The sequence below is a fragment of the Homo sapiens genome, chromosome 2 (genome assembly GCF_000001405.40).
Source record: "Homo sapiens chromosome 2, GRCh38.p14 Primary Assembly".
In the NCBI taxonomy this organism is placed as follows: Eukaryota; Metazoa; Chordata; class Mammalia; order Primates; family Hominidae; genus Homo; species Homo sapiens.
This window is the reverse complement of record NC_000002.12, coordinates 159,579,952-159,605,816: the sequence shown is the minus strand read 5'-3', so window position 1 is coordinate 159,605,816 and position 25,865 is coordinate 159,579,952. Positions and strand designations below refer to the sequence as shown.

Below are 25,865 nucleotides of genomic sequence, written 5' to 3'. Positions count from 1 at the left end.
GGAAGGTAGGAATAAGGCATGCCTGGGAAGAAAAGCTAAATTGAATGTGACCAGAAGTTTACTGTTTTTAAATTTTTATTATTATTAATTTTTTAGAGACAGGGTCTTGCTCTGTTGCCCAGACTGGACTGAACTGGGCACAAGAGATCCTCCCATCTTAGCCTCCTGAGTAGCTGGGACTACAGGCATGCACCACTGGGCCCAGCTGTTTTTTTTTTATAATGAAGTGTTCTGTGACGTAGTACCTTGAATTTGACCTTTTGCATTTTAATATGAGCCACCTTTTGTGAAATAGATTATTTTTGCAAATATTTTATTTGTTCCAAGTAGCATTTAATATACTGCAGGTACCAACTAAATTAATTACATGTACATGGGTAAAAATACATGTTTATTTCTATATTTATAATCTCAGCACTTTAAAAGTGAGCTAAAAATAATCCTACAGCTACCCATGGAAATAAATAAAAATCACTTATCAAGCCAGGTGCAGTGCCTCACACCTGTAATCCCAGCACTTTGGGAGGCCCAAAATGGGAGGATCACTTGAGGCTAGGAGTTCAAGATCAGCCTGGTCAACATAGCAAGATCTTGGTCTCTACACAAAATTTAAAAAAAAAAATCAGCTGGGTGTGGTGGCATGCACCCGTAGGCCTGGCTACTTGGGAGGCTGAAGTGGAAGGATTGCTCGAACCCAGGAGCTCAAGGCTGCAATGAGCTATTATTGCACTCCAGCCTGTGTAACAGAGTGAGATCCTGTCTCTGTCTCTCTCTCTTTCTCTCTCCTGTGCATGCACACACTCCAGCCTGGGTAACAGAGTGTGATCCTGGCTCTCTCTCTCTCCTAGCGCGCGCACACACGCGCACACACACACACACACACAAAATATATTAACTTTTCAGTTCTTTAGATTTAACAATAATTTTCCTACTTTTAAGCTGAAAAATGCCCTCCTCACCAAACTTTTTATAGTTATTTCTCATATTTTTAATTTTTTGACATTTAATGATTCTGCATTCCTTTCTGCTAGTAAAACTGTCCTTTTATGCCTATGTTAAGGCCCAACTTCCCATCAACATTTATCTATACCATATTTTCATGTGATATTGTATTCTCTAAAATTTCTATTATAAGGAATGTTGAGCTAGATAACTAAAGGTCAATTTTTTAAAGCATTGTCATGTTTTGGTTGTAATTTTGTTTCAACCTCTTGTGACAGGAATCTTTTGAAAAAATACTAATTTTATTAAATATATTGAGAGTATTCAAACTATGCTTCTTTGATAAGGCAGGCTTATCATACTGGTAAGTAATTCTATTACATTTTAGATGCCTAAATTAAAACTATTTGAGTATCAAAATATTGTACTCTACAAATATGTACAATTATTATGTGTCAATTAAAAATAGCTGGGCATGATGATTCACACCTGTAATCCCAGCTACTCGAGAGGCTGAGGTGGGAACATCGCTGGAGGCCAGGAGTGTGAGACCAGCCAGAGCAACATAGTAAGACTCCTACCTCTAAAAATAAAATAAAATATAAAATACATGTATAAGAAAGGGAAAAAAACTATTTGAGAATATAACTTGGAATTAAAAAAAATAAATTCCCATATCATATTTGTGTCATTTGCCTGTTTATGTTAAAAGGGTATATGCAGCTGTACAACTTGCCAGTTACTTATTCCTTCTTACAGTTAATCATATTCATTGTCCTTTGACTTTTCTTTAAAATTAAAAATGTATTTCTTCACTATAAAATATTAATAAAAGTTTTTAAAAATACAGAAAAGCATTGATAAAAATTTCAAATGTTCAAAATTCTATTATTCACAGGCTACTATATGCATTATTAGTTTGTTTTATGTTGAAATGAAATATTTACTGAAATGAAGGTGTTCATTAATGAAACAGCAGGTTAGTGTCATGAACCTATTCCTGCAAAAGATGAAAATGACAGGAGTGGCCATAGAGTGAAATGTGTCTGTGGTATTACCTAAGAAAGAACTAAAATAATCCACTGGATTAAGTGACAAGGACATTAGTGACCTTGGCATTAATAGTTTCAGTGGAGTGGTTTGGATTAAAGCTATAGAAATGGAAACATGTTTAAATAGTTTTGGGGTTTTGTTTTTTTTTTTGTAAGGAGGAGGAAAAGAAATTTGGTAGTTTCTGGGAAGGAAATATAGGAAGATGATTTTTTTTTAACAGGGTGAATGAAGATACAGGGGCAGAGGATATAATTCAGAGATTCTGTAAGAAATGGGAAGAAATGGGTTCCAGATCCATGTTAGACTGATAATCACGAACTAGAACGAGGGATACTCTTTCATTGTAACTAGAGGGAAAGAAAAAATGTGGGAATGCATAGTGGTGAAATTGGAGCTTGAGGAAAGAAATTTCAGAGAGTCCTAGTTCCAAATATTAGCATTTCTTCTAACAGAAATGCCTCCTTACGGCATTTTAAATAAAACAAGTTTTAATTTCCATTTTTAAAATGTATGTATTTTTACGAAGTAGCTGTTATGTAGTTTTTGCATTCTCCGTTGTTTATTAGCTCTTAATTATTTGGATTATATCATGAGCATTTTCTCTTGTCATTAAGTATTTTAAAAGACTGCATAATTTATCCAATCTTAGGGCATTTAAGTTTTTTGTTTTTGTTTTTGTTTTTTTGAGACGGAGTCTCGCTCTGTTGCCTAGGCTGGAGTGCAGTGGTGCGATCTCGGCTCATTGCAACCTCCGCCTGCTGGTTTCGAGCAATTCCCCTGCCTCAGCCTCCCAAGTAGCTGGGACTAGTGGCACATGCCACCATGCCCGGCTAATTTTTGTATTTTTATTAGACATTGGGTTTCACTATATTGACCTGGCTGGTCTTGAACTCCCGGCCTGAAGCAGTCCACCCTCCTCAGCCTTCCAAAGTGTTGGGATTATAGGTGTGAGCCACAATGCCTAGCCTCACTTTATGTTATTATATGATGGGATGAAATATCATCAAACATCCCTCAGCTTTTTTTATTCTAAGTTATTTCTGTAGGATTCATTTTTAGAGCTTGAATTGCTGGGTCAAAGAATATGAATATTTTATGGTATTCTGGAAAATATTAACTGGTTTGTATATGTGGCAAAGAGAGCCTTGATTTGTAGTGTCTTTTGCTTGTGTAAAAACTGCCACCATGGCCTGTTTCAATCCTACAACTTAATGCTATTGAACAAAGTTGAGAAATGTAGTTGTACAATCATTGTATAGTATTTTCATCATAACCATACTATAGATGTAAATAACTTCCTACAGCATAAATAATAAAATGCAAAATAATTAGGAAGTAATGTTTTGAGTGTTTATTACCCTATTATAATTTATTGACTGTAAGTTTATATAATTTAATTAATAATGATTGTTTTTAACAACTAGATTTCAAGAATTCCCAAGAATTATCAGTTGACTCTTGTGAGCCACTATGAGCAAGCTCTAGCATACCAATGCTAGGTTATCTATTTTAGTTCTCCTTTTCCTCCTTTCCTCTTCCTGTTTCTTACTCCCATTTCTGATATGTATGGTGGAATTTTTTTACCCCTAGACTGTTGTTTCCAATATAGCGAGAAATATGGGTATAGAAGACCAGTGTATCATTTTTTTCATTTATGGCTCCTAGGTTTATCTTGCTTTAAACTGAAATCTTTATGCATGGTGGAGTCTAAGTGAAAGAAGTGAAGTTTAGATTCCCAACTTATTTTTCTTCCAGAAGACTCCAGTTTTCCCCAAAACATCCTACCGACTGTTGATTGAATTACTCTTATTGTTTTTAATAATTTTTCAGTTGATTTTCTAGGGTTTTCTAGATATATAATCATATACAAACAAAGATAATTTTGCCACCTTTAGTATTTGTAACTTTATTGTATAAAGAATGAAATTAAGCTGACTACTATTTGCAATGTATTGGTAACATTGGGCACTCTTTTCCTGACTTTGGAAATGATTCTAGTACTTAAACTTTTTTTATGATATTACCTTTTGGTTTGTTATATGTATTTTTAAAGATCATGTTAAGCAAGCATGCATCTATTTCTATCTTTTTTTTTATTTTGAGACAGAGTTTCGCTCCTGTCGCCCAGGCTGGAGTACAATGGCACAATCTCGGCTCACTGCAACCTCTGCCTCCCAGGTTCAAGTGATTCTCCTGCCTCAGCCTCCCGAGTAGCTGGAATTACAGGCACCTGCCATCACACCTGCCTAATTTTTGTATTTTTAGTAGAGGCGGGGTTTCTGCATGTTGGCCAGGCTGGTCTTGAACTCCTGAACTTGTGATCCACCTGCCTCGGCCTCCCGAAGTGCTGGGATTACAGGCGTGAGCCACCGCACCCAGCCTTTTTTTTTTTTCTTTTGAGACAGGGTATCACTCTGTCACCCATTCTGGAGTGCAGTGGCACAATCTAGGCTCACTGCAGCCTTGACCTCCCAGGTGCAAGTGATTCTTTAGACTTTTTAAAAATCGGGAAAGGAAGTTGAATTTTATTAAATGCTTGGGAAACTGGTAATGCTTGTTTACCTCAGTGTTGTTGAAGGGGTTTTTTTGGTTCCTTGTTTTATGATTTGTGCTACAGGTATAGATGTTGATCATTTTAAATATTTGGAATAAGAGGCAAGAAGAGCTAGGCAACAGGAAGTATAGTTTACATATATTTTTTCCTAGAACTTTTTCTCTGAGTCTCTTGAGATCTTTGCTGTTGTTCTATATGTGAGGGTGGAACTTCGATTTTAGCAGTTTCCCTGCTTTAGGGAGAACTTGGCACACCTGAAGATGTGAGTGGGAGGAGGGAGAGAATGACTCTCTGTAATCCTGTGGATTATGAGTTTTGTGTGATGAGTCAGAGCTTTTGTCTGCTTAGTCAGATTTGATCCTCACCTTCAAAGCTGTCTCCTCAACTCTAATGAAAGGTTGAGAAAAATAAAAACGATGAGGCCAAAAAAGTAGCTCGATTATTTTCTGCTCTGCAAACATGTGTCCCAAGATCTGTGATTCCCCCCACTTCTTTTTATAGGCCCCCCATGATTCTAAACGGCAACTATGAAAGTTATGGGTTAGGACATTTCTGAATATTCTCTTACTTACTAAATTGTGAACCTTGCCCTCTTAGGGCATATGCATATAGAATCAGTCTTATTAAAAGAGTACTGGTATTTTCCCTGGTTCCCACACTAATTTTGGTCCTTTTTGTCCTGTTTGGTGGATTTCGGGACAAGATCATGTGAATGTATGTTATTCAGATTTTAAAGGCTCTTTTCACATATCCACAAAAATCCCCCTCAGAAGAATTAGTATCATTTTGTATACTCTTGCAATTGGAAGTTGAGAATATTTTTTCGTTTTTTTTTAACAGTGGGAATATTATTATTTTAATTTGTATATTCTTGATTTTTATGGATAATCATATATTCCTAAATTTGTTAGGGAATTATATTTGTTTCTGAATTGTTTGGCAGGAATGGTTCTGGTAAGATTTTGTAGCAATGTGATCATACAATAATTATCTTAAAGATTTTTCCTGATCACCCCCAAAAGGCCGGTCTCATGAGGTATGGCTTATTTACATAGGTGTGCAAAAATATTAACTACACAGGCTTCCTTGAGTTAACTTGTGCGTATCCTTGAGCCTATGCACTATGTACAACTACTAAAGCTACAAAATTAACTTTTGAACTTTTTCTAAGGAATCTGAGCTAGGACATTTAAAAATTACTGATATTTCCTCTCCTCAGGCTAGAAAGCAAGCCTGGGACATTCTACGAGATTTTACCTACTATAGTACCCCCAATTATCCCTCAGATTTCTTTCTTTCTTTCTTTTTCTTTTCTTTTTTTTTTTTTTTTTTGAGAAGGAGTCTCGCTCTGTCGCCCAGGCTGGAGTGCAGTGGCGCGATCTGAGCTCACTGCAAACTCCACCTCACGGGTTCACGCCATTCTCCTGCCTCAGCCTCCCGAGTAGCTGGGACTACAGGCTTCCGCTACCACGCCCGGCTAATTTTTTGTATTTTTAGTAGAGATGGGGTTTCACCGTGTTAGCCAGGATGGCCTCGATCTCCTAACCTTGTGATCCGCCTGCCTCAGCCTCACAAACTGCTGGGATTACAGGCGTGAGCCACCATGCCAGGCCCCAGATTTCTTTTTTTCTTTTTTCTTTTTTTTTTTTGAGACAGAGTTTCCCTCTTGTTGCCCAGGCTGGAGTGCAGTGGCACAATGTCGGCCCACAGCAACCTCCACCTCCCAGGTTCAAGCGATTCTCCTGTCTCAGCCTCCTGAGTAGCTGGGATCACAGGCATGCACCACCACACCTGGCTAAATTTGTCTTTTTAGTAGAGACGGGGTTTCTCCATGTTGGTCAGGCTGGTCTCAAACTCCCAGCCTCAGGTAATCCGCCTGCCTCAGCCTTCCAAAGTGCTGGGATTACAGGCTTGAGCCACCGCGCTCGGCAGTCCCTCAGATTTCTTAAGTTTGTGTGGCCTGCCAGAAAGTGATCTTCCTTATCACCTAAAAGGCTGAGTCCCTGTAAGACAGGGACCAGGCTAGTTTTCCAGGGAGGGCTCGTAAAGTCAACATTAGTTCCTTAAAAGTAACTTGTACCTGTTTAAGTAAGCATCGTTCTCAAATATGACACTCTAGGTAAAACGTCAGTTGCTCAATAAGTTGAGTAGCTGGGATTACAGGCGTGTGCCCCCAAGCCCAGGTAATTTTTGTATTTTTAGTAGAGATGGGGTTTTGCCATGTTGGCCAGGCTGGTCCTCAAGTGATCCTCCCTCCCTGGCCTCCCAAAGTGCTAGAATTACAGGCATGAGCCACCACACCCAGTTAACAGCTATATTTTATGTATGTATGTATGTATGTATTTATGAGACAGAGTTTCACTCTTGCCACCACACCCAGTTAACAGCTATATTTTATTTATTTATTTACTTATTTTTGTGACAGAGTCTCACTCTTGTCTCCCTGGCTGGAATGCAGTGGCTCAATCTTGGCACACTGCAACCTCTGCCTCCCGGGTTCAAGCAACTCCTTCAGCCTCCCAAGTAGCTGGGATTACAGGTGCCTGGCTAATTTTTGTATTTTTAGTAGAGACAGGGCTTCACCATGTTGGCCAGGCTGGTCTGTTTGGCCGGGCTGGTCTCAAACTCCTGACCTTGTAATCTACCCACCTGGGCTTCCCAAAGTGTTGGGATTACAGGTGTGAGCCACCACACCCGTCTGTAATTATTTCTTGAGTTTTTGATCAGTATTTCCCCCAAGAGTGAAATTATAATGGACAGTAAAGACATTGACACATTCCCAGGGATTTCTCATAAAACATAAGTTTTCTGAAATATTTGTACTAATAATGTGTTATCTATATAATCTTAACCTAGGAAAAGCTAAATATCTCTTTTGATTTGACACTGTTCCCATGCAATTCTTATGAGAGTAACATATCAAGTAAACCCAATTCTTTCCAGCAGCTCTTTTTTTATGAGGTGAAAGAATAAGTCAGCCAGGCGTAGTGGCTCACGCCTGTAGTCCTAGCACTTTGGGAGGCTGAGGTGGGTGGATCACAAGATCAGGAGTTCAAGACCAGCCTGGCCAATATGGTGAAACCCTGTCTCTACTAAAAATACAAAAATGAGCTGGGCGTGGTGGCAGGCGCCTATAGTACTAGCTACTCGGGAGGCTGAGGCAGGAGAATCGCTTGAGCCCGGGAGGCAGAGATTGCAGTGAGCAGAGATCGTGCCACTGCATCCAGCCTAGGTGACAGAGCGAGACTCCGTCTCAGAAAAAAAAAAAAAAAGAATACGTCTATGTGGTCTTATTGAGGCACTCTGGGAAATCTGAAAGATAGTTTAGTGTATTTAGTGTATTGTGAAAGTTTTATTTTTCTGTATTTAGGATCTGATTGGGGGAATGCAAATAGAGAGTTGTTAGGATATTTGGGGTTTGATTGAGATAGAGTCGTGGCTGCCTGAGAAACAAGCTTTGGTTACTTATTTAATCAAAGTAACAATAAACATACACATAGAAGGGAAAACCTGGCTGGAGGAGGTGGCTCACTCCTGTAATCCCATCACTTTGGGAGGCCAAGGCGGGCAGATCACCTGAGGGTGTGGTGGCACATGCCTGAAATCCCAGCTACTTGGGATGCTGAGGCAGGAGAATCGCTTGAACCTAGAAGGCGAAGGTCGCAGTGAGCTGACATCGCGTCACTGCACTCCAGCCTGGGCAACGGAGCAAGACTCCACCAAAAAAAAATTTTAAAAAGTAAGACCTTACCTGTTTCATACCTGAGGAGGAAGCTATTCATTTTTGTTTCTTTAGATGATCAAGGACATAATGAACTCAACATAAGCACAGAAAGTTATTCTGTTAGGATACAGAATTTCTGCTATTTAGTCACTTTACACAGAAGGTATAGAATAGCCTTTCACATTGAAGATGAAGGAATTAACTAGTATTCTAAGGAAGCAAGTCCATCAATGTTGAGTGAAATTTTCTAAACTTTAAAATGTTTCGAACATTTTAAATACTCAAATTTGCAAGAAAAAAACAATCCCATCAAAAAGTGGGCTAAGGACATGAGTAGACAATTCTCAAAAGAAGATATACAAGTGGCCAACAAACATGAAAAAATGCTCAACATCACTATTGATCAGGGAAATGCAAATCAAAACCACAATGCAATACCACCTTACTTATGCAAGAATGGCCATAATCAAAAAGCCAAAAAATAATAGATGTTGGCATGGATGCGGTGAACAGTGAACACTTCTACACTGTTGGTAGGAATGTAAACTAGTACAACCACTATGGAAAACAGTGTGGAGATTCCTTAAAGATCTAAAAGTAGAACAACCATTTGATCCAGCAGTCCCACTTCTGAGTATCTGCCCAGAGGAAAAGAAGTCATTATATGAAAAAGATATGAATTAATGGCATTTGCAGCAACTTGGATAAGATTGGAGACTATTATTCTAAGTGAAGTAACCGAGGAATGGGAAACCAAACATCGTATGTTCTCACTCATAAGTGGGAGCTAAGTTATGATACGAGGATGCAAAGGCATAAGAATGACACAGTGGACTTTGGGGATTCAGGGGGAAAGGGTAGGAAGTGGGGCTGAGGGATAAAAGATTACAAATTGTATGCAGTGTATACTGCTCAGGTGTTGGGTGCACCAAAATCTCACAGATCACCACTCTTGTAACCAAACCTCACCTGTTCCCCAATGCCCTATGGAAATAAAAAATTAAAAGATAGAAAAAAATAAATAAATGGAGAAAAAACAAAAATAAAATGTTTGGTAGCTTCTTTTCTATGTTAGCTGCTATAAATCAAGACAAATTTACTTTCTAGGTTAGGTCCTTCATTGTCTTTTATATTCTTGAACAAACTTTAGGGCCGTGCTTCTAACAGGATCTGTGGTGTCACGCATATTTTTATAAAAATACTAAAATTTGCTAAAATGCAATATATTAATCATTGTTGTCTTCAAATGAAACAGTAAATAAGCGCTTAAAATAGTTCTGAGTCTTAATTTCCAATATGGTAAACATCAAGACTTACAACCTATGTACAATGAAAACTCTTTTGGAGTCTTCAACAAGTCCTAAGAGTGTAAAGAGGCCAGGAGACCAAAATGCACAAGAATCCGTTCTTTAGGACAATACTACTCCTTTTCCTTTAAAATAAATGCACATACCGAGCTGTGATTCCATGTCATTGTTGCTCCTGGTATAGTCTGTTAAAAGAAAGACTTCAGCCAAATTTATTTAAAGTGTTTAATTGAGCAAAGAAAATTCACGAATCAAGCAGCCTCCCAAGCCAGAGTAAGCTCAGAGACTCCAGCGTAGCCAAGTGGTGGAAGAAGATTTATGGACAGAAAAAGGAAGTGACATACAGAAAACATAAGTGAGGTACAGAAATAGCTGGATTGGTTACAGCTTGGTATTTGCCTTAGTTAAACACAGTTGGAACAGTTGGCCACATTTGATATGCCAAAACTGGGTGATTGGCACAAGAGTGGGCTATGGACTGATAGTACCTCCGCTTGTTAGATATAGTTCAGAATGTACAGAGAAGCCTCTAGGTTGAATTTAAAATATGTAAAGAGGCAGCTTTAGGCTAAACTTACATAACAGATTTCAATGAATCATATTAATTGTAACTTTTAGTCGAAGTGACTAATTTCTGTTTTACAGAGAAAAGTTGGAGGTGAATAATTGAGAACTGTGTCATATACCAGCATTTTAGCAGACTAGTAGAATTCATGAGCACACACAACACCACTTTTTACAGCACGCATACCTCTTTTTCGCCTCTTAAAGTGGCAAAAATTGACATTTCCACTAACATGACCTAAAACAGCTTGTCATTAGTATATAAAAACAAGAAACAAAAGTGTATGTTTAGCCTGTAATCCCAGCACTTTGGGAGGCCGAGGTGGGCAGATCACCTGAGATCAGGAGTTTGAGACCAGCCTGACCAACATGGAGAAACCCCATCTCTACTAAAAATACAAAATTAGCCAGGTGTGGTGGTGCATGCCTGTGATCCCAGCTACTCAGGAGGATGAGGCAGGAGAATCGCTTGAACCCAGGAGGCGGAGGTTGCGGTGAGCCGAGGTCATGCCATTGCACTCCAGCCTGGGCAACAAGAGCAAAACTCCGTTTAAAAAAAAAAAAGTATATGTTTAAAAGGATGCATAGTAATCAATGTTTCAGTATTTTGCTTAGAAGTTATTACGCATTGAATAATTATTTAATATCAGTCCAAGGTTTTAGGCTACCTAAAGATTTGAAAATTATCTTCAAGCTGCCATGCTGCAAAATATACTTACTGTTGAAATAAAAATTTGTTGGGCCATGCCCGGTGGCTTGGGCCTGTAATCCCAGCACTTTGGGAGGCTAAGGCAGGCAAACAGCTTGAGCTTAGGAGTTTGAGACCAGCCTGGGCAACATGGTGAAGCCCTGTCTCTACAAAAACTACAAAAAATTCACTGGGTATGTTGGCACGCGCCTGTAGTCCCAGCCGCTTGGGAGACTGAGCTGGGAGGATCCCTGGAGCCTGTGAGGCGGAGGCTGCAGCAAGCCATAATCACGCCACTGCACTCCATCCTGGGCAACAAAACAAGATTACATGTCAAGAAAAAAAAAAAAACTGTCAAAATAATGACTCAATTTACTTGAACATGAGAATTTATCTGTTTCATGTTGTAAACTTTAAGGATTAATGCTAGCTTGTCCGATTGGTTAAAGCCATAAATTTTTAAAATTAGAATGTATTAAATTAGTCCCATTTGCCAAAGATTTACCTTTCTTTTGTAAACTTGGGTTCTTAAGATTAAAAACTAAAATACTTAGTTTTTCTAATTACTTTTTTTTTTTGAGACGGAGTCTCGCTCTGTTGCCCAGGCTGGAGCGCGGTGGCGCGATCTCAGCTCACTGCAAGCTCCGCCTCCCGGGTTCATGCCATTCTCCTGCCTTAGCCTCCGGAGTAGCTGGGACTACAGGCTCCCGCTACCACGCCTGGCTGATTTTTTTGTATTTTTAGTAGAGACGGGGTTTCACCGTGTTAGCCAGTATGGTCTCGATCCCCTGACCACAAGGTAGGCCGCCCGCCTCGGCCTCCCAAAGTGCTGGGATTACAGGAGTGAGCCACCGCGCCCGGCCGACTTTTTGTTTTTTAATGCACATGCAGAATATTAGAAGTTCAGTGTTTTTATTGTCTGAGAATTTAGTTCAAAGAGAATTGAAAGGCCTGGAAATGGATAGTGGTGGAGGTTGCACAGTATTGTGAATGAACTTAATGCCAGCTAATTGTACACTTAAAAATGGTTAAAGTATGTGCTCGATCTCTAATTTCTAAAACAAAGCAGGGACAGGCCTGGTTAGTACTTGGATAGGAGAATGTAGGCTTTTTAAAAAACTGGCAAAAATGGCAAATTTTATATTACAGTAGTCCCTGCCTTGTCCCCGAGGAGATACGTTCCAAGACACTCAGTGGATGCTGCCTAACCCCCAGTGGATGACTATGTTTTGTCAATCTAATAACTAGACAACTATTAGGTGACTAACAGGCAGGTAGCGTTTATAGAGTAGATATGCTGGACAAAGGGATGATTTGTGTCCCAGGCAGGTTTGAGGGGGAAGGCATGAAATTTCATCATGCCACTCAAAATGGCACACAATTTAAAACTTGTGAATTGTTGATTCCTAAAATTTTCATTTTAATATTTTTGGACGTTGGCCAACTGCTCGTAACTGAAGCCTCACAGTGAAAATGTGGATAAGTGGGGACTACTGGTATGTGTATTTTACCACAAAAAACAACCCCCAAAACAAAAAGGATAGTGAAAGGGACAGATAACTTGGTATGATGCCCTAGATAGGACATAATCTTTTTTTTCCCTTTGTTAAAGTCTTCCATAATTTTTCCTCGCAGGAACATTATCCTAAGAGGGGTAAGATTTCAACTGATGGAATACATAGAAGTACATTCCAGATTCTACAAAGATAAAATACAGAGATTTGGTCAAAGTTTGCATGATCACTGAGGAAAATAATGATAGATTTAAAGGTGGAAATATAGATTTTGGACATACTCTTTGTTCTCTGATGGTACAGATTAGCATATCATATGTTTTATTAAGTGAACATGTATTTTCTTTTTATTACTTTAGTTTTCATATGGAGTTGGGGGCTTAAATTTTTGTTTCCCTTAGCAGTAGAGTAAGCCCATTTGGCATGAGTTTTGGCCAAACTGCATCACAAATCTTAAGGCTTTGCTTCATCATTTATTTGCTAAGTATCTTCTCCAGGCAAGGAACTCAGTGTTGGGGTGAGAGGGAATAAAGAGATGAATAAGATACTTTATCAATTTATCTAATTCTGTTTAGTAAATATTTCAAAACTTAACAGGGTAAAACATATTTGTTATTGGAGTTTCTGTAGTTCAGGAATCTCGTAGTGGCTTAGTTAGGTGGTTTTGGCTTAAGATCTCTCAAGAGGTGGCTGTCACGCTGTCAGTTGGGGCAGCAGTCATTGCAAGGCTCAACTGGGGCTAGAAGATCTGCTTCCAAGCTCATATAGTTCTTGGCACGCCTTTTTTCCTTGTCCCTGTTCTGTTGGTGGGAGGACTTAGTTCTTGATCACATGGTCATTTCCATGGTGCTGTGTCTGACATGGCAGCTTGCTTCCACCAAAGTGAGTGGGTGAGAGTTGAGAGAGAGACAGAGTCTCTTTTTAGAATGAGAATGTTGTGAAAGAGGAAAGAAGATAATTTGAACATAGAGCAACTTGAAAAAGAACAAGCAGTTTAAAAGATCTGTTAAAGTCATGATATTGGGCCACGTGCAGTGGCTCACGCCTGTAATCCCAGCACTGGGAAGCTGAGGCAGGAGAATGGCTTGAGCCTAGGAGTTCAAGACCAGCCTGGGCAATATAGCAAGACCCTGTCTCTAAAAATAAATAAATAAATAAATAAAATTCATGATACTGAATATTTACAGACTTAACATGATCCCAGAATTACTTAGTAAATCTACGGAAGAAACTTCTATTCTAGACACGTTATATGTAATTTATTGATATGCAGTATATCTATATGAAAGATTCATATTAACAGATGGGTTTATTTCTTTTTTTTTTCTTTTTCTTTGTTTTTTTGTTTGTTTGAGACAGGTCTCACTCTGTTGCCCAGGCTGGAGTTTGGTGGTGCACCCATGACTCACTGCAGCCTCAACCTCCCAGGCTCAACAGATCCTCACGCCTCAACCTCTTGAGTAGCTGGGAATACAGGCACCCACCATCATGCCTGGCTGCTTTTAAAAATTTTTGTAGAGATAGCGTCTTGCCTTGCTGCCCAGCCTCGTCTAAAGCTTGAATGTAGCTGCTTTGCTTAGCTTAAAGGGCCATGTTAGAATCAATTATTTTAAAGAAAGAGTTTAAAGTAAATTCCTAACTAGGATCACAAAATGTGATAGAATATTTTTAAAAAAGCATTACTTAAAGTACTGTGATTTTTGCTGGAAAATGAATCTGGACATTTGGTGATTTCTGGTTTCTGTTTTTTTGAGTTTTGGGCCACCCATAGTAGGAGTGGAATCAAATTTCTAGAAAAGTTATCAGTAAAAGTTAAATATGTTTTCATGAAAACAATCAAGGAAAAAATATTGGAATGGCAAGGTCCTCCCTTTGAGTATTTTTAAGGTTGTATGAACTGCAATTTCCTTCTTTTTATATTTTAGATTATTTTCTTAAAATTAAATTACTGTATATGCCATTCAATACTTTGACTTTCCCCACTTAGCTGTTATCTTAAAGTGTTCCTTCTGTTTTCCTTATCCTACCTTTGTTGCCATAGAAACAGAAGTAGACTGGGGAACTGGCAAGAAACCCAGCAACTGAAATGAATGAGATAACTCTTCACCTGTAGTTACCATGTCCCATTACAACTCCTGTTTTAATGGAAGTAAGTGTGTAATGGAAGCCTGTTGATCAGAAAAAAAGAGTCTGGAACTTAATTTTCATTTGCTTCAGAGTTGTTCATTTGCCTAGAAAGCTTTTAGGAAAGAGCTTTCTTAATAGTTGGAAAAGAACTGTTCATTTCTGTGTAATGGTTATACTTTTAAATGTTTATAATGTGATTTTTATTCATAGGTAGTAACATCTACAAAAGTTTTAGGCAATGAGATTTGATATTATTTCATGTCAGCCCACTGTGGACAAAATGTTTTCACAGATACTACTTAAGTGAACCTAGAAACAGAGATGTAGATCTTATACTCTGATAAGAATGCTTTAAAATACTATTAAATGTAAGCATATTTAATGTTATATGTTTATCAACTCAAGAAATGTTTAAAAAATAAAAATTTTAAATGTAAAAATGATTCCTAAAGGCTAGTTAGAAGCCTTTTAAAAGTGCTGTTTTACACTTCTTATTTTCCTCTTGAAATGTAAATAAATCTGATAAAGTCCAGACTGTAAATAGAAGAACTACTAGAGATTGCTAAAAATTTGCTTCTTTCCATTCTACCGTGCCCACCCCCATCTTTGCAATTAGGGACTAGCACACCTTTTTGGAATTATTTTGCTTTAGGACCCTGAGTTAAAGCGTCTTTTCACTGATTGTTGCCTTAAAATTTTTTAATTCTTATATCCAAGCTATCTATCTATCTATTTATTTATTTATTTATTTTGAGTCGGAGTTTTGTTCTTTCTCCTAGGCTGGAGTGAAGTGGCACGATCTTGGCTCACTGCAACCTCCACCCCCCCGGGTTCAAGCAATTCTCCTACCTCAGCCTCTCTAGTAGCTGAGATTATAGGCGCCCACTATCACGCCTGGCTAATTTTTTGTATTTTTAGTAGAGACAGGGTTTCACCATGCTGGCCAGGCTGGCCTTGAACTCTTGACCTCAGGTGATCCACCCACCTTGGCCTCCCAAAGTGCTAGGATTACAGGCGTGAGCCACTGTACCTGGCCTATTTTTGAGGCATTTTTACTTTTTTTTTTTTTTTTTTGAGTGGAAGATTAACAATAGCCAGTTCTTGCTGGGTTGTTTTTTTTTTTTTTTTTTTTTTTTTTTTTTTTTTTTTTTTTTTTGAGATGGAGTCTTGCTCTTGTTTCCCAGGCTGGAATACAGTGGCATGATCTTGGCTCACTGCAGCCTCTGCCTCCCAGGTTCAAGCGATTCTCCTGCCTTAGCCTCCCAAGTTGCTGGGATTACAGGCGCCTGCCAGCATGGCTGGCTAATTTTTGTATTTTCAGTAGAGATGGGGTTTCACCACATTGGCCAGGCTGGTCTCAAACTCCTGATCTCAAATGATCTGCCTGCCTCGGCCTGCCAAAGTGCTGGGATCACAGGCGTGAACCATCGGGCCCGGCCTTGCTGGGTATCCTTAAATCTGGTTGACTTAAAGGTTTGGGAAATTCTTCTTAGACTACATTATTTTAGACTCCTGTCTTATATGTTGATGGTCTTAGAACTATTTTGTGTTTCCAATCAGTAAAAATGTTTTGGAGCATGGATCACCAGTATATGTATATTTGTTTATGGATTATATACATTTACTAATATCCTAGTATTTTATGTCAGATATACACTAATAAATATAAATGAAATAGGATGAGATAAAGATTATATAAACAGTGTCTTAAGATATTTTGCTAATTGTGAATGCTTTATATTCTTATTAGCCAGTTTCTCAAAGTGAATTAGAAACTAAGGCGATTGTTAACAATAATAAATACTGTAACTCAAATAGTTTCTTCTTAAATTTATAGTTATTTTTTTGGCTGAGATCATCATTTTTTCCTCACAGTGTGGCTGATAACTAGCAGCAAAAGCATCAGCTTTGGCATTTTGTGTTATTTCTTGTGATTCTGTTAACTAGTATTATGTTTAATCTATGTTTTTTTTTTGGAAGGAATCTTTTTAAAGCCCCCTCATTTTTTATGAAAGTTGGCTTAGAATGGTATAATTTATAAATCTACTTCATTGTAGACCCATAAATTATGATTCTGAGCAGTGTGAGTAAGGATACCACTGTGAGCTCCTCTACAATGTGGAATTCACACTCTTCCTGCCAGGTAGCTTGCCATAAAAAGCCTAATATTCAATCCTATGAGTGGCAGCAGTCTTCATCCATGTGTTAAATATTAGTAGTTAGCAAATTTTTCTCGTTCTCTTAATAAAAGTTAGATTCTTTATGATTTCTTCCCACATTTTAAAAGATCATCTTGAATATCCTACTTTTGAAGAAATTAGTTTGTTTAATTCTGGCATCTGCATGTAGACTTTAGATGCCATATTTTCTTTCTCGTCCTTACTGCTTCAGCCTGCCTTTAGTCTTTTTGCTTATGTATATCTCCCTAAGGTAGAGTGGCTGACTATATAAAATGTGTTCCCAGTATTTGAGGAAATAATTTCATACTACAATTTTAATTTTACTTACATTTTGTTTTTGTTTTAGAGATGCATGGCGAGCATTCTCTATGGAATATATGATTTATTTGTAAATAAAGTCAAAAAGAGCCACAAAGCTAAGCAATGGTTCTCACCTCAGGGGCTGCTTATTCACCTAGGGAGCATTTTCAATGTGTTGTATGTTTTGGTTTGTCATAATGACTAAACCGAGCTATTGACATTGAGTCTGCAGGGCCAGCAGTGCTAAACATCTGCAAAGTTTGGGATGGACCCTCCCCAGTAAAGAATTGTCTTTATTGGGGAAATAATGGACTATGGTCATATTTAAGAGGGGTGTGTGTGTGTGTAGATCTTACTCTGTTGCCTAGGCTGGAGTGCAGTGACCAATCATAGCCCACTGCAGCCTCCAACTCCTGGGCTCAAGTGATTCTCTCACCTTGATCTCCCAAAGTGTTGAGATTACAGGCATGAACCACTATACCCAGCCTATTTTGGAGTTATTGTTGGTTGAGATGATTCACCATTAATTCATAAATATATCTTATATTGTAGATGAAAATGAAGGCTCATTTAAATATGGTTATATAATGGTAAGGTGTTGTCACATTTTGTTTCATTTGGCAAGCAGGGGTTTTTTTTTTTTTTTTTTGATGCAGGGTCTTGGTCTGTCACCCAGGCTGAAGTGCAGTGGTACAATCGCTGAAGTGCAGTGGTACAATCGTAGCTCACTGCAGCCTCAAACTCTAGACTCAAGCTATCCTTCTGCCTTAGCCTCCCGAGTAGCTGGGACTACAGACACATGCCACCGTGTTCGGCCAATTTGTGTAATTTTTAGTAGAGACCGGGTCTCAACTATGTTGCCCAGGCTGATCTTAACACTCCAGGGCTCAAGCGGTACGCTCACACTGGCCTCCCAAAGTGTTGGTATTAACAGGCATTACCCACTGCTCCTGGCCTTTTTTTGTTATTTTTTGTTTTTGCTCTTGATATATTGTATACAATTCATTGCAGCATTGAGCAACTACTATTGGTAATTCATTTTGCTAGGTGCTGGAACTACAGAGATGAATAACGTGGTTACTTTTCTTTCTGTTCGCAGACTAGTAGGGGAAAACAGTCATGTAAATAATTACTATATAGTATGATAAGTACATCCGGAGAATTAGATTTAATGTAAAAGGTAGCCCTGAGAGGGGTAAGGTTTTAGGGAGAATTTCACCAGATTGTTAAACTTTGAGGGCAAGGACTGCATCTTAAGAGTTACATATTTACAACACAGCACTGGGCCTTAAACTTGGTAATTTAGTCAGTAAATATTAGCTGGTTAAAAAGTTTAGATTTCAGTGAATTTTTGATGAGTGAATTGAAGTATGTCCAGATGTAAAAAGTGGGAAAGGACAGGCAGGCTTAAAGTTCAGGTATTGCAGGAAGTGCTAGCAAATAACATTGGAAGGTGAGGTTTAGATAGGCAATTAAGAAAGTTGCGTCGAGCGTGGTGGCTCGTGCCTGTAATCCCAGCGCTTTGGGAGGCTGAGGTGGGCGGATCACGAGGTCAGGAGATGGAGACCGTCCTGGCTAACACGGTGAAACCCCATCTCTACTAAAAATACAAAAAAAATTAGCCAGGCGTGGTGGCAGGCGCCTGTAGTCCCAGCTACTCAGGAGGCTGAGGCAGGAGAATGGCGTGAACCCGGGAGGTGGAGCTTGCAGTGAGCCGAGATTGCGCCACTGCACTCCAGCCTGGGCTACAGAGCCATACTCCGTCTCAAAAAAAAAAAAAAAGTTGCAGGTGATAGGATATTATTAAAGCTTTTTTCTCCCATTTTTACATTAAGTTGTTAAAAAGGGGAAGAGACATGATTAGGTTTAGTGAGGTTTAGGTTTTAGGAAGGTATGTCTATTGGCATTCTGGAAGATGTACTTGAGGGAGGAGAGAAATTTTATTTCTTAGGTAGTGAACTCTTCAGACTTGTAAGATCTTGTAAGATCAAACTGTAAGTGGAAAATCTAAATTTTAGCTTTTATACATCAATTTATTTTTTAGTTTTAGAGTTTATATTATGCAAGCCTAAGTATATTCTATATGGAATAATTTTAATTTTTCAATATGTTTTTAGTTATTCTTTAGTTTTTAAAAAATGTTTTATATTATTTTTAAGTAGGGACAGGATCTCATTTTGTTGCTCAGGTTGTTCTTGAACTCCTAGTCTCAAGCAGTCCTCCTGCCTCAGCCTCCCAAAGTGCTAGGATTTAAGTCTTTTAATGTTCAAGATAAATAATTCATTTATATCAGTGTATACAGAACAAAGGTAATAATTATTGGTCTTCCTTAAATTTTTTTTTCTTCAGTAGGAAACTTAGAAGCCTGAAGTTGATAAACTGGTTCAACTGAAAATTGGTAACACTTTTAAGGTAGCTTGGTAGCAAGGTTAGTAGTAATTTATAAGAAAAATTCTGAATTCTGTGTAGATGATTTATTTATTTTTGTTCAGCAGGTTTGTATCTATAGCCTAGCACTTTCCCTACAAAAAATCAAAACAAAACTGTTTGGGTCACAAAATAAAACAGACATTTTCAAGGGTTAAGTAATAACTTTTAGTCTTGAGATCCTCGCAAATTCTTTTTTGCTGTGTCAGATATAAAAAATTATAATTGTAATATAATTACCACAACGTATAGATTATCAATAAATTAATAGTAAATAGCAATGGGTTCTTAGGTTTAACGTGAAATTTTAAAGTTAAAGCTGATGTTGTAAAATAATTAGTGTAAAAACAATAATCTACTTCTAAGCACATATAAAATGACTGACTTGTACATTCAGATTCTGAGTATGAAATCTGCCTTACTCATACTTAAAGTTTCTGAGTTAGCAATGTAAAGGTGACTTTTGCCAAAAATTTGGCATAAGTAGACATGTAAAGAAAAAAGTCATTTATTTAAGCCAATAAAGTTGAAAAGATTAGCTTTAAGTAAGCATTTAGGCAGCAAGCAGGTCACAGCTGACAAGCCTTCTAATAAGAGAGGAAACTGAAAAACTTGAAAGCAGTCTGGCTGGCACCATTTAGCATAGGGACAAAGTCCTAGTCATTGAATGAAGGCATCACTATATTACAGTTATAAAACTAACACATAGGAAATACCTAACTGATTTTATTAAATAATTCTGGGTATCAGAAATAGACAATTAAGGAGAAAGTAGAAGTCTGTTAACCATTATATTTAGAATATTTCTAGTATGAATACTTAACATATTTAAAAATGGCTTTTAACCATTATTTGCAAAATGTACAGCAACAGACTTCTTATCCAATCCAGTTGGATTTGATAGCTATTCATTTAATCAAAAAGGTCAAAACAGGAAATTATAAAAAATACATATGCATATAAATGTAAACATTTAATACAGTTTTCACATTCATTTGCCATATTTTTTTATGTGTCTGTTGAGGGCCAGACAATATTTAATCTGTGAAGATGGATCCCCTAATTGTAAATCATTGTATTTTTTGCAACTATATCCCTAAAATAGAAGTTTCCTATCACATTCTTTGAAGTGGAGCAAGCCACTTTACTCTTACAGCCAATTGTCTTCTTGTCTTCTTGACTTCTCTACCTGCACACTGACGAAGCATCTTAAATTTAACATGTTCAGTGTCAAAAGTTTGACTTTACCACTCCAAGTCTATCCCTGTAACAGTCTTCCCCATCTTAGTGACAACTCATTCTTACTGCACATACCAAGAAAACGCTATTTTATTAGTCTGCTCTTGCACTGTTTTAAAGAAATACTTGAGACTGGGTAATTTATAAGAAAAGAGGTTTAAGTGGCTTATGGTTCTGCAGGCTGTACAGGAAGTATAGTGGCATCTGCTTCTGGGGAGGTTTCAGGAAGCTCCCAATCATGACAGCAGGCAAAGGGGGAGAAGGCACATCACATAGTGAAAAGCAGGAGCAAGCGAGAGAGGGCCAGGTGCTATACACTTTTAAATGACTAGATCTCCCAAGAACTCACTATTGCAACAACAATACCAAGGGTATGGTTCTAAGCCATTCATGAGAAGTCCACCCCTATGATCCAATCACCTCCCACCAGGCTCCACTTTTAATACTGGAGATTACATTTCAGCATGAGATTTGGTGAGGACACAGATCTAAACCATGTCCTGTCATCCTTGACTCCTTTCTTGTCTACATTCTTGACTCTTCTTTTCTGTATCTTAACTCCTCTCATATCCCACTTATAAGGCGTCAACAAATTGTGTTGACTCTACTTTGAAAGTATATTTGAATTCTCACCACTTTTCATCACCTTCACTGTTCTATGGCCCAGGTTACAATCATTTCTTGGATATTTGTAGTAGCCTTCTAGGGCTTCTGCTCCTACTCCCAAGAGTCTATTATCAACATAGCAACCAAAGTGATCCTCTTAAAACCTAAATCAGGCTGGGCACAGTGGCTCACGCCTGTAATCCCAGCACTTTGGAAGGCCGAGTGGGTAGGATCATGAGGTCAAGAGATGGAGACCATCTTGGCCAACATGGTGAAACCGCGTCTCTGCTAAAAATACAAAAATTAGCCCGGTGTGGTGGCACATGCTTGTAGTCCCAGCTACTCGGGAGGCTAAGGCAGGAGAATCGCTTGAACCTGGGACATGGAGGATGCAGTGAGTCGAGATCGTGCTGCTGCATTCCAGCCTGGCAATAAAGCAAGACTCCATCTCAAAAAAAAAAAAACCCTAAATCAGATTACATCCCTCCTGTGTTCACACCCCACCATGACTTTACAATGATCTTACAGTGCAAGAGTCTTTACAAGACCCTACAATACATGATCTTCCTCGCAGCATTTTACCTCTCCCCTATTTCTTAATACACTTCTTCTTCACTCTGGGCCAGCTACACTAACCTTCTTGTTGTTTCTTGTATACTTATCAGACACATTCTTCCCTCAAGCTATTTGTATTTGCTATTCCTTCAAATAACCTTATAGCTTGTTCTTAACATCCTTCAAACCATTGCTCAGATGTACACTTCCACATGACTCTTTACCTTAACACTAACAAAAATAAACCGTCTGCCCTGTACTCTCTCTTTTTCTGCTTTATTTCCACCCCATATACTTATGGCCTTCAAATATGCTATAAATGTTTTTTTATTTATATTTTTGTTATCTGTCTCTCCCCATGAAGAAGGCAAGAATTTTTTTTTCTTTTTGTTCACAAATGAGTAGCATCTAGACAATATCTGGTACACAGTAGGCACTACATACGTTTTTATGGAATGAATGAATGCCATTGTACTATAATAATTGATTTACTTATGTTTGTTCCACTTGACTGTAAGCTTCTTGATTGGCAAGTGCTGTGACTCCTGCAGTCTGTTTCATAAGCGGTAAACATACATGACTTGCATGATGTTTGCTCAATTTATGAAAGAATATATTTCATAGCTGGATGTGGTGGCTCACACCTGTAATCCCAGCACTTTGGGAGGCTGAGGCAGGCAGATCACCTGAGCTCAGGAGCTCTAGATCAGCCTGGCCAACATGGCGAAACCCTGTCTCTACTAAAAATACAAAAATTAGCTGGGTGTGCTGGCTGGCACCTGTAATCCCAGCTACTTGGGAGGCTTAGGCAGAAGAATCACTTGAACCTGGGAGGCAGAGGTTGCAGTGAGCTGAGATCGCGCCACTGTACTCCAGCCTGGGCAACAGGAGTGAGACTCCGTCTCAACAAAAAAAAAAAAAAAAGAAAAGAAAAAAGAATATATTTCATATTTTTTACAGGTAAAATAACACAAATATGCATTGGAATTTTTTTTACTTATATGTATAAGTATTTTGTATTGCTATGTATTCTATATAATTATACACATTATTTTTTGTTGAGTTAGCTTTCAAAATCCTTATAAAACTGTAGGCAATTCATAAACAAAATAGGCAAATTGAAAAATTCTCTTGGGTTGATATTTAGTCATTTACTTAACTATTGATTATTATAAGCATTTAAGTGTTCCCAGTGTATATTTTTATAGGTAACGCTTCAGTGAATATCTTAGGAAGTCTTTAATTCAGTAACCTGGAGATACATTGTATTAGAAGAAATGTGTTAAATTTCATATTTATAAAAGAGCCAATAGATTTTTGTTGTGAAAAGATTTATTTTAAATAATATGAACATCCAGGCCCAGTGGCTTACACCTGTAATCCCAGCACTTTGGGAGGCTGAGGTGGGCTGATCACTGGAGTCCAGGAGTTCAAGACCAGCCTGGGCAACATAGTGGGACCCCATCTCTTAAAAAAAATACAAAAATTATTTAGACGTTGTAGTGCTGGCCTGCTGTCCCAGCTACTCCGGAGGCTGAGCTTGAACCTGGGAGGCTGAAGCTGCAGTGAGCCGTGATCGCACACCACTCCAGCGTGAGCTACAGAGTCTCAAAAAAAAAGTATGTGAACTTACCCAGTGCATTTATGTTTTCTGGTGGCTACTTATTTGTATTACAAAGCGATATATTCTTACCGGAGAAACTCAAATCTGTCCATTCATAAAGTAAATATATTCCCTTTGGCCCTGCTGATGGCAGTTTCCAGAACTACTTTAAAATGGTTTGCTGTACATTCTTTCAGACCTTTTTAATATGCACATGAATATATATACTTATTTTTTAAAATCTAATTAAATATGCATTCTGCAGTTTGATTATATATTCTACCTATGCAACAGAAGTCTGCCATGTGAATATATATAAATACGTTTTCTTTAAAAGGATTATACAGTGATGTGTAAGCATTTTTTTTATACTTTAAGTTCTAGGGTACATGTGCACAACGTGCAGGTTTGTTACATATGTACACATGTGCCACGTTAGTGTGCTGCACCCATTAACTTGTAATTTACATTAGGTATATCTCCTAATGCTATCCCTCCCCCCTCCCCCCACCCGACAGGCCCTAGTGTGTGATGTTCCTGACTCTGTGTCCAAGTGTTCTCATTGTTCAATTCGCACCTATGAGTGAGAACATGCGGTGTTTGGTTTTCTGTCCTTGTGATAGTTTGCTCAGAATGATGGTTTCCAGCTTCATCCATATCCCTACAAATGACATGAACTCATCCTTTTTTATGGCTGCATAGTATTCCATGGTGTATATGTGCCACATTTTCTTTATCCAGTCTATCATTGATGGACATTTGGGTTGTTTCCAATTCTTTGCTATTGTGAATAGTGCTGCAATAAACATACATGTGCATGTGTCTTTATAGCAGCATGATTTATAATCCTTTGGGTGTATACCTAGTAATGGGACAGCTGGGTCAAATGGTATTTCTAGTTCTAGATCCTTGAGGAATCACCACACTGTCTTCCACAATGGTTGAACTAGTTTACAGTCCCACCAACAGTGTAAAAGTGTTCCTATTTCTCCACATCCTCTCCAGCACCTGTTGTTTCCTGACTTTTTAATGATCGCCATTCTAACTGGCATGAGATGGTATCTCATAGTGGTTTTGATTTGCATTTCTCTGATGGCCAGTGATGATGAGCATTTTTTCATGTGTCTGTTGGCTGCATAAATGTCTTCTTTTGAGAAGTGTCTGTTCGTATCCTTTGTCCACTTTTTGACGTGGTGGTTTGATTTTTTTTTTCTTGTAAATTTGTTTAAGTTCTTTGTAGATTCTGGATATTAGCCCTTTGTCAGATGGGTAGATCGTAAAAATTTTCTCCCATTCTGTAGGTTGCCTGTTCACTCTGATGGTAGTTTCTTTTGCTGTGCAGAAGCTCTTTAGTTTAATTAGATCCCATTTGTCAATTGTGGCTTTTGTTGCCATTGCTTTTGGTGTTTTAGTCATGAAGTCTTTGCCCATGCCTATGTCCTGAATGGTATTGTCTAGGTTTTCTTCTAGGATTTTTATGATTTTAGGTCTGACATTTAAGTCTTTAATCCATCTTGAATTAATTTTTGTATAAGGTGTGAGGAAGGGATCCAGTTTCAGCTTTCTACATATGGCTAGCCAGTTTTCCCAACACCATTTATTAAATAGGGAATCCTTTCCCCATTGCTTGTTTTTCTCAGGTTTGTCAAAGATCAGATGGTTGTAGATGTGTAGTATTATTTCTGAGGCCTCTGTTCTGTTCCATTGGTCTCTATGTCTGTTTTGGTTACTGTAGCCATGCTGTTTTGGTTACTGTAGCCTTGCAGTATAGTTTGAAGTCAGATAGTGTGATGCCTCCAGCTTTGTTCTTTTGGCTTAGGATTGTCTTGGCAACGCGAGCTCTTTTTTGGTTCCATATGAACTTTAAAGTAGTTTTTTCCAGTTCTGTGAAGAAAGTCATTGGTAGCTTGATGGGGATGGTATTGAATCTATAAATTACCTTGGGCAGTATGGCCATTTTCACGATATTGGTTCTTCCTATCCATGAGCATGGAATGTTCTTCTATTTGTTTGTGTCATCCTTTATTTTGTTGAGCCGTGGTTTGTAGTTCTCCTTGAAGAGGTCCTTCACATCCCTTGTAAGTTGGATTCCTAGGTATTTTATTCTCTTTGAAGCAATTGTGAATGGGAGTTCACTCATGATTTGGCTGTTTCTCTATTATTGGTATATAGGAATGCTTGTGATTTTTGCACATTGATTTTGTATCCTGAGACTTTACTGAAGTTGCTTATCAGCTTAAGGAGATTTTGGGCTGAGACGATGGGGTTTTCTAAATAAAAAATCATGTCATCTGCAAACAGGGACAATTTGACTTCCTCTTTTCCTTATTCAATACCCTTTATTTCTTTCTCCTGCCTGATTGCCCTGGCCAGAACTTCCAACACTATGTTGAATAGGAGTGGTGAGAGAGGGCATCCCTGCCTTGTGCCAGTTTTCAAAGGGAATGCTTCCAGTTTTTGCCCATTCAGTATGATATTGGCT

The 25,865-nt window shown here is 38.3% G+C and overlaps 1 protein-coding gene across 19 annotated transcripts in view, besides 2 other annotated features; it reads left to right on the top strand.

Annotated features, from left to right (window-relative positions):
- The window catches only part of BAZ2B (bromodomain adjacent to zinc finger domain 2B), a 397,131-nt gene that overhangs the window by 106,626 nt on the left and 264,640 nt on the right, over positions 1–25,865 (top strand). The window contains exon 6 of one of the 19 annotated variants that reach the window (XM_017003920.2): positions 14,388–14,495. The exons of the other annotated variants lie outside the window; for them this stretch is intronic. The gene's annotated coding sequence lies outside the window, so the exon portion shown is untranslated. The remainder of the gene's footprint in view (positions 1–14,387; positions 14,496–25,865) is intronic. 19 annotated transcript variants of the gene reach the window in all.
- Positions 6,086–6,586: an enhancer, noted in NCBI's record as "H3K27ac hESC enhancer chr2:160455742-160456242 (GRCh37/hg19 assembly coordinates)". NCBI's record gives its function as "activates a minimal SCP1, AML or CMV promoter by ChIP-STARR-seq in naive H9 embryonic stem cells {active_cell/tissue: H9 hESC(naive)}" and the evidence as "EXISTENCE:reporter gene assay evidence [ECO:0000049][PMID:30033119]".
- Positions 13,562–13,731: an enhancer, noted in NCBI's record as "experimental_53833 CRE fragment used in MPRA reporter constructs". NCBI's record gives its function as "activates a minimal promoter by MPRAs in K562 erythroleukemia cells, with activity observed for the non-introgressed 2:160448682 variant allele {active_cell/tissue: K562}" and the evidence as "EXISTENCE:reporter gene assay evidence [ECO:0000049][PMID:34662402]".